The sequence below is a fragment of the Homo sapiens genome, chromosome Y (genome assembly GCF_000001405.40).
Source record: "Homo sapiens chromosome Y, GRCh38.p14 Primary Assembly".
Classification (NCBI taxonomy): domain Eukaryota; kingdom Metazoa; phylum Chordata; class Mammalia; order Primates; family Hominidae; genus Homo; species Homo sapiens.
Window position 1 is genome coordinate 23,140,026 of NC_000024.10, and position 14,664 is coordinate 23,154,689.

Sequence of the window (14,664 nt, forward strand, 5' to 3'; positions counted from 1 at the left end):
TGGTTCTAATTCCTGACATTCTTGTTGTTACTTCCACATACAAATACGAAACCACACCTTTTCCCCAATTTTTGGATTTGGCATTGTGGAAATCTCAAAGATGTTACTACTTTGAACTTATTATGCTACATATGATTATTGGTCATAGATAGAGTCCTCTCTACTATGAAAAGAGAACCAGACAACAATTGTCGGGAAACAGCCTACTAAATGAAACTATAATTTGAATTATGTGCTCTAAGAATTGGGTAATAATTTTATTTACTCTATATCCCTAAAAAATTCATGAAAGTCATCCTGGAGGTTTCATTCAGCTATTTGACAGCAAAGATGAAAACTATATCCTGAAATATAGAAGGGTCAAATCTCAGAAAACTGTTCTACAGAAAAGTTATTGCCAAGTACATTCCTGTCAAAATATTACCTCATTACTTCTAAATCAGACAGAGGTCTTCATTCTACACTAATTCTAAGTGTTTCCTTAAATATTAGGTACACTTCACTAGTTTAAAATGACCAACTATTCAGGAAATTTGTATAAACAAGTTAAAGGCCTCAATAATACCTGAAAGCAAATCATTTCATTCCTTCTTACATTACCTGGTAATTGTATACATGGAACTGATATCCAGTGGTGACCTGAACTGCTGAATTTGGATAAGCAGGAAATGCCTGAAAAGAAAGGTGGCAGAAAAAAAAGAATATGGTAAACCATTTTTTAAAATTAGAAAGAAATATCATTCCCAATGTAACAAAAATATTAAAAACGTTAAAATATCATTTTTCTACATACAACAATGCAGAATTCTAAATGAATGACTGACTTTATGAAGAAAGAAATAGTCTATGTCATGTGCCACACTTTGGGTGTGAAGGGGGAACAAATGACAAAAGAATTGACTATTTCACCAAAGTTTACCTTATACTGTGTACTTATTCACACCCAGAAATTCTTTCTTACACCGGTGATAAGGCTCCATTAAGACAGATTGCAATGTAAGTTAAATTTATACATTTGCTATTTCAATGTCAGAATATTTCTAGACTGTTTTGTATCAGACAATATTAAAGGGTAATATGTAGTTCTATAGATATTAGTGCTATGTTTGTACTTCATTCCAAAAAACTAAGTGCAGTCTATAATCCAATACTGGAGAAGAGAAAGTATAATGTCTTATATGTTTCAATGAATTCTTATTGTTTGAAAACATACAGGTAGCAGCACACATGAATATGCCCTGATTCAGTAATGCCGCACAGTAAATGACAGAAACAAGTAGGGCTTTTTTTCCAGCCATTGTTCAGAGAAGGAAAAAGAAGAGGTATACCACACATGTTTCAAGTACATGGAAAACATCAACAAATTAGAGACACTGCAGAACTATTGGACTATTATTTTGTTACTTCATTTTCCGTCAAAGAAAATGTCTTTAAAGCTAACACATAAATAAAACGAACTAAGAAGAATATAAACGTCCTTTATCAACATTAAGTGATGGAGTATGTCAAAACCTACTTTAAATATCAGTGTAAGCAGGATCAGAGAAATTAGATGCAAGAAGCTCACGGGATTTATATACCTACTAAACCACATCAGAAATCTACCCATTCCCGAACCAGAATATATCCAGAAGTCAGCAATTTATATGAGGAGGCATCTGGAAATCATTTCAAATAAAGGGTAGCTAGATGAACTGTTAAACTTACCGAAGAATGAAGTAGGCAGACACATAAGGAGAGCTGCTTTCATTCACTTTAGGAACTGGTTATAAGGAGGAAAGCAGCTCTGGTGCTTTGGAGGTAATACTCTCGTTTACTCCTATTCTTATTTAAGCGCAATTAACAGCAAAGCATTTCTGTCTCTGTTCTACAAATTTTCTGTTGCTGGTAAAGCCAGAGGCAGAATCTACGCAGATGCATGCTAATTCAAAAGCCACATGAATACTACCTTTCTTTGATGATATGGTCTATCATTAAGTGGACCTGCCATTGCTTAAGCAAATAAAAACCTCAGGGCAAAAAAGGCACTGTTGCTCCCATGGGAGTTTATAATCGGGTTAACAAGAAAGTAAAAAAATAAACTAAAACATTGATATAAAAATCACTTAAAAATAGTAATAGGCATATACGACGTGGAAAAAAACCAAGAATGAACAGGAAGTCTATGTTTGGCTAATTCACTTAACATCAAGGAAAACATAATCCCTTTGCTCCCCAACAGGCCCCTATGGTGGCATCTTAAAAAAAAAAAAAAAAAGGAAACCAAAACTATTAAAATATTCCTACACATTTTCAAAAACACATGAGAAACACAATATTGAAGCACTTATCCTGCTGTCTCCTTTTTTATTATAATACAAGTAACAGAAAGGAAAACTTGAGTACTTTATGTTTCTAGTCCATGACATTCTTGTTACTTTTATATTAGAAACTTCACCCTTCTCCACATTTTCGGGAGTTGGCAATGTGGAAACCTCAAAGATACTAGCTCTTTCAGTTTATTACCATAGATATAATTATTGGGCATAGATGTACTTGTATCTGTGAAAAGAGACCCAGAGAATTGCTATCGTGAAACAGCCAGCTAAAATGAAAATATAGTTGGAATTCTGTGCTCTGCAAAGTGGGTCATAATTTTATTTCACTCTATCTCCCTAAGAAAATTCATGAAAGTCAGTTTGGATGTTTCATTCAGTTATTTGACAGTAAAGATGAAAACTACATCCAGAAATGAAGAATGGGACACCAAATCTCAGAAATCTGTTCTACAGGAAAGTTATTCCCAAGTATATTCCTGTCAAAATTCGACTTCATTACTTCTCAATAAGACAGAGGTCTTCATTCTACACTAATTCTAAGTGTTTCCTTAAATTTTAGGTACACTTCACTAGTTTAAAATGACCAACTATTCCGGAAATTTGTATAAACAAGTTAAAGGCCTCAATAATACCTGAAAGCAAATAATTTTACTCCTTCTTACATTACCTGATAATTATATACAGGCAACTGATATCCAGTGGTGACCTGAAATGGTGAACTTGGATAAGCAGGAAATGCCTGAAAAGAAAGGTTGGCAGAAAAAAATGAATATGGTAAACCACTTTTTAAAATTACAAAGAAATATAATTCCCAATATAACAACAATATTACAGAAGGGAAAATATCGTTTTTCTACATACAACAATGCAGAATTCCAAATGAATGACTGATTTATGAAGAAAGAAAGATTCCATGTCAAGTGCTACACTTTGGCTGTGAAGGGGGAAGAAATGACAAAAGAATTGACGACTTCACCAAAGTTTACCTTATACTGTGTACGTATTCACACCCAGACGTTATTTCTTACACTGGTGATAAGGCTCCATTAAGAGAGATTGCAAGGTAAGTTAAATTAATACATTTGCTATTTCCCTGTCAGAATATTTCTACACTGTTTTTTATCAGACAATATTATAGGACAATGTGTAGTTGTACACGCGTTATGGCTTTGTCTGTACTTCATTCCGGAAAACTAAGTGCAGTCTATAATCCAATACTGGAGAAGAGAAAGTATAATGTCTTATATGTTTCAATGAATTCTTATTGTTTGAAAACATACAGGTAGCAGCATACATGAATACACCCAGATTCAGTAATGCCTCACAGTAAATGACAGAAAGAAGTAGGGTTTTTTTTCTAGCCATTGTTCAGAGAAGGAAAAAGAAGAGGTGTACCATACATGTTTCAAGTACATGGAAAATATCAACAAATTAGAGACACGGCAGAACTATTCGACTATTATTTTGTTACTTCACTTTCCGTCAAAGAAAATGTCTTTAAAGCTAACACATAAATAAAACGAACTAAGAAGAATATAAACGTCCTTTATCAACATTAAGTGATGGAGTATGTCAAAACCTACTTTAAATATCAGTGTAAGCAGGATCAGAGAAATTAGATGCAAGAAGCTCACGGGATTTATATACCTACTAAACCACATCAGAAATCTACCCATTCCCGAACCAGAATATATCCAGAAGTCAGCAATTTATATGAGGAGGCATCTGGAAATCATTTCAAATAAAGGGTAGCTAGATGAACTGTTAAACTTACCGAAGAATGAAGTAGGCAGACACATAAGGAGAGCTGCTTTCATTCACTTTAGGAACTGGTTATAAGGAGGAAAGCAGCTCTGGTGCTTTGGAGGTAATACTCTCGTTTACTCCTATTCTTATTTAAGCGCAATTAACAGCAAAGCATTTCTGTCTCTGTTCTACAAATTTTCTGTTGCTGGTAAAGCCAGAGGCAGAATCTACGCAGATGCATGCTAATTCAAAAGCCACATGAATACTACCTTTCTTTGATGATATGGTCTATCATTAAGTGGACCTGCCATTGCTTAAGCAAATAAAAACCTCAGGGCAAAAAAGGCACTGTTGCTCCCATGGGAGTTTATAATCGGGTTAACAAGAAAGTAAAAAAATAAACTAAAACATTGATATAAAAATCACTTAAAAATAGTAATAGGCATATACGACGTGGAAAAAAACCAAGAATGAACAGGAAGTCTATGTTTGGCTAATTCACTTAACATCAAGGAAAACATAATCCCTTTGCTCCCCAACAGGCCCCTATGGTGGCATCTTGAAAAAAAAAGGGGGGTGGGGGAGGAGCCAAGATGGCCGAATAGGAACAGCTCCAGTCTACAGCTCCCAGCGTGAGCGACGCCGAAGACGGGTGATTTCTGCATTTCCATCTGAGGTACCGGGTTCATCTCACTAGGGAGTGCCAGACAGTGGGCGCAGGTCAGTGGGTGGGCTCACCGCGTGCGAGCGGAAGCAGGGCGAGGCATTGCCTCACTTGGGACGCGCAAGCGGTCAGGGAGTTCCCTTCTGAGTCAAAGAAAGGGGTGACGGATGCCACCTGGAGAATCGGGTCACTCCCACCCGAATACTGCGCTTTTCCGACGGGCTTAAAAAACGGCACACCACTAGATTATATCCCGCACCTGGCTCGGAGGGTCCTACGCCCACGCAGTCTCACTGATTGCTAGCACAGCAGTCTGAGATCAAACTGCAAGGCGGCAACGAGGCTGGGGGAGGGGCGCCCGCCATTGCCCAGGCTTGATTAGGTAAACAAAGCCGCAGGGAAGCTCCAACTGGGTGGAGCCCACCACAGCTCAAGGAGGCCTGCCTGCCTCTGTAGGCTCCACCTCTAGGGGCAGGGCACAGACAAACAAAAAGACAGCAGTAACCTCTGCAGACTTAAATGACCCTGTCTGACAGCTTTGAAGAGAGCAGTGGTTCTCCCAGCACGCAGCTGGAGATCTGAGAACGGGCAGACTGCCTCCTCAAGTGGGTCCCTGACCCCTGACCCCCCGAGCAGCCTAACTGGGAGGCACCCCCCAGCAGGGGCACACTGACACCTCACACGGCAGGGTATTCCAACAGACCTGCAGCTGAGGGTCCTCTCAGTTAGAAGGAAAACTAACAAACAGAAAGGACATCCACACCAAAAACCCATCTGTACATCACCATCATCAAAGACCAAAAGTAGATAAAACCACAAAGAGGGGGAAAAAACAGAACAGAAAAACTGGAAACTCTAAAAAGCAGAGCACCTCTCCTCCTCCAAAGGAACGCAGTTCCTCACCAGCAACGGAACAAAGCTGGATGGAGAATGACTTTGACGAGCTGAGAGAAGAAGGCTTCAGACGATCAAATTACTCTGAGCTACGGGAGGACATTCAAACCAAAGGCAAAGAAGTTGAAAACTTTGGAAAAAAAAAATGTAGAAGAATGTATAACTAGAATAACCAATACAGAGAAGTGCTTAAAGGAGCTGATGGAGCTGAAAACCAAGGCTCAAGAACTACGTGAAGAATGCAGAAGCCTCAGGAGCTGATGCGATCAACTGGAAGAAAGGGTATCAGCAATGGAAGATGAAATGAATGAAATGAAGTGAGAAGGGAAGTTTGGAGAAAAAAGAATAAAACGAAATGAGCAAAGCCTCCAAGAAATATGGGACTATGTGAAAAGACCAAATCTACGTCTGCTTGGTGTACCTGAAAGTGATCGGGAGAATGGAACCAAGCTGGAAAACACTCTGCAGGATATTATCCAGGAGAACTTCCCCAATCTAGCAAGGCAGGCCAACGTTCAGATTCAGGAAATACAGAGAACACCACAAAGATACTCCTCGAGAAGAGCAACTCCAAGACACATAATTGTCAGATTCACCAAAGTTGAAATGAAGGAAAAAATGTTAAGGGCAGCCAGAGAGAAAGGTCGGGTTACCCTCAAAGGGAAGCCCATCAGACTAACAGTGGATCTCTCGGCAGAAACCCTACAAGCCAGAAGAGAGTGGGGGCCAATATTCAACATTCTTAAAGAAAATAATTTTCAACCCAGAATTTCATATCCAGCCAAACTAAGCTTCATAAGCGAAGGAGAAATAAAATACTTTACAGACAAGCAAATGCTGAGAGATTTTGTCACCACCAAGCCTGCCTTATAAGAGCTCCTGAAGGAAGCACTAAACATGGAAAGGAACAACCGGTACCAGCCGCTGCAAAATCATGCCAAAATGTAAAGACCATCGAGACTAGGAAGAAACTGCATCAACTAACAAGCAAAATAACCAGCTAACATCATAATGACAGGATCAAATTCATACATAACAATATTAACTTTAAATGTCAATGGACTAAATGCTCCAATTAAAAGACACAGACTGGCAAACTGGATAAAGAGTCAAGACCCATCAGTGTGCTGTATTCAGGAAACCCATCTCACGTGCAGAGACACACATAGGCTCAAAATAAAAGGATGCAGGAAGATCTACCAAGCAAATGGAAAACAAAAAAAGGCAGGGGTTGCAATCCTAGTCTCTGATAAAACAGACTTTAAACCAACAAAGATCGAAAGAGACAAAGAAGGCCATTACATAATGGTAAAGGGATCAATTCAACAAGAAGAGCTAACTATCCTAAATATATATGCACCCAATACAGGAGCACCAAGATTCATAAAGCAAGTCCTGAGTGACCTACAAAGAGACTTAGACTCCCACACATTAATAATGGGAGACTTTAACACCCCACTGTCAACATTAGACAGATCAACGAGACAGAAAGTCAACAAGGATACCCAGGAATTGAACTCAGCTCTGCACCAAGTGGACCTAATAGACATCTACAGAACTCTCCACCCCAAATCAACAGAATATACATTTTTTTTCAGCACCACACCACACCTATTCCAAAACTGACCACATACTGGGAAGTAAAGCTCTCCTCAGCGGATGTAAAAGAACAGAAATTATAACAAACTATCTCTCAGACCACAGTGCAATCAAACTAGAACTCAGGATTAAGAATCTCACTCAAAACCACTCAACTACATGGAAACTGAACAACCTGCTCCTGAATGACTACTGGGTACATAACAAAATGAAGGCAGAAATAAAGATGTTCTTTGAAACCAACGAGAACAAAGACACAACATACCGGAATCTCTGGGATGCATTCAAAGCAGTGTGTAGAGGGAAATTTATAGCACTAAATGCCCACAAGAGAAAGCAGGAAAGATCCAAAATTGACACCGTAACATCACAATTAAAAGAACTAGAAAAGCAAGAGCAAACACAGTCAAAAGCTAGCAGAAGGCAAGAAATAACTAAGATCAGAGCAGAACTGAAGGAAATAGAGACACAAAAAACCCTTCAAAAAATTAATGAATCCAGGAGCTGGTTTTTTGAAAGGATCAACAAAAGTGACAGACCGCTAGCAAGACTAATAAAGAAAAAAAGAGAGAAGAATCCAATAGACGCAATAAAAAATGATAAAGGGGATATCGCCACTGATCACACAGAAATACAAACTACCATCAGAGAATACTACAAACACCTCTACGCAAATAAACTAGAAAATCTAGAAGAAATGGATAAACTCCTCGACACATACACTCTCCCAAGACTAAACCAGGAAGAAGTTGAATCTCTGAATAGACCAATAACAGGAGCTGAAATTGTGGCAATAATCAATAGCTCACCAACCAAAAAGAGTCCAGGACCAGATGGATTCACAGCCGAATTCTACCAGAGGTACAAGGAGGAACTGGTACCATTCCTTCTGAAACTATTCCAATCAACAGAAAAAGACAGAATCCTCCCTAACTCATTTTATGAGGCCAGCATCATTCTGATACCAAAGCCAGGCAGAGACACAACCAAAAAAGAGAATTTTAGACCAATATCCTTGATGAACATTGATGCAAAAATCCTCAATAAAATACTGGCAAAACGAATCCAGCGGCACATCAAAAAGCTTATCCACCATGATCAAGTGGGCTTCATCGCTGGGATGCAAGGCTGGTTCAATATACGCAAATCAATAAATGTAATCCAGCATATAAACAGAACCAAAGACAAAAAACACATGATTATCTCAATAGATGCAGAAAAAGCCCTTGACAAAATTCAACAACCCTTCATGCTAAAAACTCTCAATAAATTAGGTATTGATGGGACGTATTTCAAAATAGTAAGAGCTATCTATGACAAACCCACAGCCAATATCATACTGAATGGGCAAAAACTGGAAGCATTCCCTTTGAAAACTGGCACAAGAGAGGGATGCCCTCTCTCACCACTCCTATTCAACATAGTGTTGGAAGTTCTGGCCAGGGCAATTAGGCAGGAGAAGGAAATAAAGGGTATTCAATTAGGAAAGGAGGAAGTCAAATTGTCCCTGTTTGCAGACAACATGATTATATATCTAGAAAACCCCATTGTCTCAGCCCAAAATCTCCTTAAGCTGATAAGCAACTTCAGCAAAGTCTCAGGATACAAAATCAATGTACAAAAATCACAAGCTTTCTTATACACCAACAACAGACAAACAGAGAGCCCAATCATGAGTGAACTCCCATTCACAATTGCTTCAAAGGGAATAAAATGCCTAGGAAATCAACTTACAAGGGATGTGAAGGACCTCTTCAAGGAGAACTACAAACCACTGCTCAAGGAAATAAAAGAGGATACAAACAAATGGAAGAACATTCCATGCTCATGAGTAGGAAGAATCAATATCGTGAAAATGGCCATACTGCCCAAGGTAATTTACAGATTCAATGCCATCCCCATCAAGCTACCAATGCCTTTCTTCACAGAATTGGAAAAAACTACTTTAAAGTTCACATGGAACCAAAAAAGAGCCCGCATTGCCAAGTCAATCCTAAGCCAAAAGAACAAAGCTGGAGGCATCACACTACCTGACTTCAAACTATACTACAAGGCTACAGTAACCAAAACAGCATGGTACTGGTACCAAAACAGAGATATAGATCAATGGAACAGAACAGAGCCCTCAGAAATAACGCCGCATATCTACAACTATCTGATCTTTGACAAACCTGAGAAAAACAAGCAATGGGGAAAGGATTCCCTATTTAATAAATGGTGCTGGGAAAACTGGCTAGCCATATGTAGAAAGCTGAAACTGGATCCCTTCCTTACACCTTATACAAAAATCAATTCAAGATGGATTAAAGACTTAAACGTTAGACGTAAAACCATAAAAACCCTAGAAGAAAACCTAGGCATTACCATTCAGGACATAGGCATAGGCGAGGACTTCACGTCTAAAACACCAAAAGCAATGGCAATAAAAGACAAAATTGACAAATGGGATCTAATTAAACTAAAGAGCTTCTGCACAGAAAAAGAAACTACCATCAGAGTGAACAGGCAACCTACAAAATGGGAGAAAATTTTCACAACCTACTCATCTGACAAAGGGCTAATATCCAGAATCTACAATGAGCTAAAACAAATTTACAAGAAAAAACAAACAACCTCATCAAAAAGTGGGTGAAGGACATGAACAGACACTTCTCAAAAGAAGACATTTATGCAGCCAAAAAACACATGAAAAAATGCTCATCATCACTGGCCATCAGAGAAATGCAAATCAAAACCACAGTGAGATACCATCTCACACCAGTTAGAATGGCAATCATTTAAAAGTCAGGAGACAACAGGTGCTGGAGAAGATGTGGAGAAACAGGAACACTTTTACACTGTTGGCGGGACTGTAAACTAGTTCAACCATTGTGGAAGTCAGTGTGGCGATTCCTCAGGGATCTAGAACTGGAAATAGCATTTGACCCAGCCATCCCATTACTGGGTGTATACACAAAGGACTATAAATCATGCTGCTATAAAGACACATGCACACGTATGTTTATTGCGGCATTATTCACAATAGCAAAGACTTGGAACCAACCCAAATGTCCAACAATGATAGACTGGATTAAGAAAATGTGGCACATATACACCATGGAATACTATGCCGCCATAAAAAATGATGACTTCATGTCCTTTGTAGGGACATGGATGAAATTGGAAATCATCATTCTCAGTAAACTATCGCAAGAACAAAAAACCAAACACCGCATATTCTCACTCATAGGTGGGAATTGAACAATGAGATCACATGGACACAGGAAGGGATATATCACACTCTGGGGACTGTTGTGGGGTGGGGGGAGGGGGGAGGGATAGCACTGGGAGATATACCTAATGCTAGATGAGGAGTTAGAGGGTGCAGAGCACCAGCATGGCACATGTATACATATGGAACTAACCTGCACAATGTGCACATGGACCCTAAAACTTAAAGCATAATTTAAAAAAAAAAAAGAATTGACTACTTCACCAAAGTTTACCTTATACTGTGTACTTATTCACACCCAGAAGTTATTTCTTACACTGGTGATAAGGCTCCATTAAGACAGATTGCAATGTAAGTTAAATTAATACATTTGCAATTTGCTGTAAGAATATTTCTAGACTGTTTTGTATCAGACAATATTATAGGGTAATATGTAGTTCTATAGATGTTATGGCTTTGTCTGTACTTCATTCCAAAAAACTAAGTGCAGTCTATAATCCAATACTGGAGAAGAGGAAGTATAATGTCTTATATGTTTCAATAAATGCTTATTGTTTGAAAACATACAGGCAGTAGCATACATGAATACACCCAGATTCAGTAATGGCTCACAGTAAATGACAGTAACAAGTAGAGCTTTTCTTCTACCCATTGTTCAGAGAAGGAAAAATAAGAGGTATACCATACATGTTTCAAGTACATGGAAAATATCAACAAATTAGAAACACTGCAGAACTATTTCACTATTATTTTGTTACTACATTTTCCATCAAAGAAAATGTCTTTTAAGCTAACACATCAATGAAATGAACTAAGAAGAATATAAACGTTATTTATCAACAGTAAGTGATAGAGTATGTCAAACCCTACTTTAAATATCAATGTCACCAGGATCAGAGAAATTAGATGCCAGAAACTCAAGCGGTTTATATATATATACTAAATCACATCAGAAATCTACCCATTCCAGAACCAGAATATATCCAGAAGTCAGCAATTTATATGAGGAGGCATCTGGAAATCATTTCAAATAAAGGATAGCTAGATGAATTGCTAAACTTACGGAAGAATAAAGTAGGCAGACACATAAGGAGAGCTGCTTTCATTCACTTTAGGAACTGCTTATACGGGGGAAAGCTGCTCTGGTGATTTGCAGGTAATACTCTCCTTTACTTCTATTCTTATTTAAGCATAATTAACAGCAAAGCATTTCTGTTTCTCTTCTATAAATTTACTACTGCTGGTAAAGCCAGAGGCAGATTCTATGCAGCTACATGCTAATTCTAAAGTCACGTGAATATTACCTTTCTTTGATTATATAGTCTATCATTATGTGGAGCTGCCATTGCTTAAGCACATAAAACCCTGAGGGCAAAAAAGGCACTGTTGCTGCCATGGGAGTTTATACTCGGGTTAACAAGAAAGTAACAACAACAACAACAAACATTAATATAGAGAGTCACTTAAAAATATTTATAGGCATATATGACATGGAAAAAAAATCAAGAATGAACAGGAAGTCTATGTTTGGCTAATTCCCTTAACGTCAAGGACAACATAATCCCTTTGCTCCCCAACAGGCCCCTAAGGTGGCATCTTTAAAAAAAAAAAAAAAAAAGGAAACCAAAACTATTAAACTATTCCTACATATTTTCAAACACACATGAGAAACACAGTATTGAAGTACTTATTCCGCTGTCTCCTTTTTTATTATAATAAAAGTAACAGAAAGGAAAACTTAAGTACTTTATGTTTCTTGTCCATGACATTCTTGTTACTTTAAATTTGAATCTTCACCTTTCTCCAAATTTTTGGGAGTTGGCAATGTGGAAACCTCAAAAATACTAGCTCTTTCAGTTTATTACCATAGATATAGTTATGGGTCATAGATATACTTGTATCTATGAGAAGAGATCCTGAGAATGACTACCGTCAAACAGCCAGCTAAAATGAAAATATAATTGGAATTCTGTGCTCTGAAAAGTGGATCATAATTTTATTTCACTCTATCTCCCTAAAAAAATTCATGAAAGTCAGTTTGGATGTTTCATTCAGCTATTTGACAGCAAAGATGAAAACTATATCCACAAATGAAGAAGGGGACACCAAATCTCAGAAATCTCTTCTACACAAATGTTATTGCCAAGGATATTCCTGTAAAAATATTACTTCATTACTTCTAAATAAGACAGAGGTCTTCATTCTACACTAAGTCTTTCCTTAAATTTTAGGGACACTTCACTAGTTAAAAATGACCAACTATTCAGGAAATTTCTATAAACAAGTTAAAGGCCTCAATAATACCTGAAAGCAAACCATTTTACTACCTCTTACATTACCTGATAATTGTATACAGGCAACTGATATCCAGTGGTGACCTGAACTGGTGAATTTGGATAAGCAGGAAATGCCTGAAAAGGTTGCAGAAAAAATGAATATGGTAAACCACATTTTAAAATTAGAAAGAAATATAATTCCCAATATAAGAAAAATATTACAAAACGGAAAATATCCTTTTTCTACATACAACAATGCAGAATTCCAAATGAATGACTTTATGAGGAAAGAAAGATTCTATGTCAAGTGCTACACTTTGGGTGTGAAGGGGGAACAAATGACAAAGAACTGACTACTTCACCAAAATTTACCTTATACTGTGTACTTATTCACACCCAGAAATTATGTCTTACACTGGTGATAAGGTTCCACTAAGACAGATTGCAATGTAAGGTAAATCAATACATTTGCAATTTCGCTGTAAGAATATTTCCAGACTGTTTTGTATCAGACAATATTGTAGGGTAATATGTAGTTCTATAGATGTTATGGCTTTGTCTGTATTTCATTCCAAAAAACTAATTGCAGTCTATATTCCAATACTGGAGAATAAAAAGTATAATGTCTGACATGTTTCAACAAATTCTTATTGTTTGAAAACATACAGGTAGCAGCATACATGAATACACCCAGAATCACTAATGCCTCACAGTAAACGAGAGAAACAAGTAGGGCTTTTTTTCTAGCCATGGTTCAGAGAAGGAAAAAGAAGAGGTATACCATACATGTTTCAAGTACATGGAAAATATCAACAAATTAGAGACACAGCAGAACGATTTCACTATTATTTCATTACTTCATTTTCTGTCAAAGAAAATGTCTTTTAAGCTAACACATCAATGAAATGAACTAAGAAGAAAATAAACGATATTTATCAACAGTAAGTGACACACTATGTCAAACCCTACTTTAAATATCAATGTAACCACGATCAGAGAAATTACATGCCAGAAACTCACCGGGTTTATATATATATACTAAACCACGTCAGAAATCTGCCCATTCCAGAACCAGAATATATCCAGAAGTCAGCCATTTATATGAGGAGGCATGTGGCAATCATTTCAAATAAAGGATAGCTAGATAAACTGCTAAACTTACCGAAGAATAAAGTAGGCAGACACATAAGGAGAGCTGCTTTCATTCACTTTAGGAACTGCTTATAAGGGGGAAAGCAGCTCCGGTGAGTTGGAGGTAATACTCTCCTTTACTCCTATTCTTATTTAGGCGTCATTAACAGCAAAGCATTTCTGTTTCTCTTCTATAAATTTTCTACTGCTGGTAAAGCCAGAGGCATATTCTGTGCAGACACATGCTAATTCTAAAGTCACGTGAATACTCCCTTTCTTTGATTATATAGTCTATCATTATGTAGACCTGCCATTGCTTAAGCACATAAAAACCTGAGGACAAAAAAGGCACTGTTGCTGCCATGGGAGTTTATAATCGGGTTAACAAGAAGGAAACAACAACAAAAAAAACATTAACATAAAAAGTCACTTAAAAATATTTGTAGGCATATATGACATGGAAAAAAATCAAGAATGAACAGGAAGTCTATGTTTGGCTAATTCCCTTAATGTCAAGGACAACATAATCCCTTTGCTACCCAACAGGCCCCTAAGGTGGAATCTTAAAAAATCAATTAATAAATAAAAGGAAACCAAAACTATTGAAGTATTACTACACATTTTCAAAAACACATGAGAAACACAATATTAAAGTACTTATCCTGCTGTCTCCTTTTTTATTGTAATAAAAGTAACAGAAAGGAAAACTCAAATACTTTATGTTTCTAGTCCATGACATTCTTGTTACTTTTACATTGGAAACTTCAGCTTTCTCCACATTTTCGGGATTTCGCAATGTGGAAACCTCAAAGATACTAGCTCTTT

At 37.4% G+C, this 14,664-nt stretch overlaps 1 protein-coding gene across 2 annotated transcripts in view; it reads right to left on the bottom strand.

Moving 5' to 3' along the window:
• DAZ1 (deleted in azoospermia 1) overlaps window positions 1-14,664 on the bottom strand; it is a 69,740-nt gene that overhangs the window by 10,671 nt on the left and 44,405 nt on the right. Inside the window, exons 23-25 of one of the 2 annotated variants that reach the window (NM_004081.7) lie at window positions 12,772-12,843; window positions 2,986-3,057; window positions 601-672 (exon numbers count right to left, since the gene is read on the bottom strand). In NM_004081.7, the coding sequence (NP_004072.3) occupies window positions 601-672; window positions 2,986-3,057; window positions 12,772-12,843 (216 nt within the window). The remainder of the gene's footprint in view (window positions 1-600; window positions 673-2,985; window positions 3,058-12,771; window positions 12,844-14,664) is intronic. The other variant, NM_001388496.1, reaches the window with a different exon arrangement.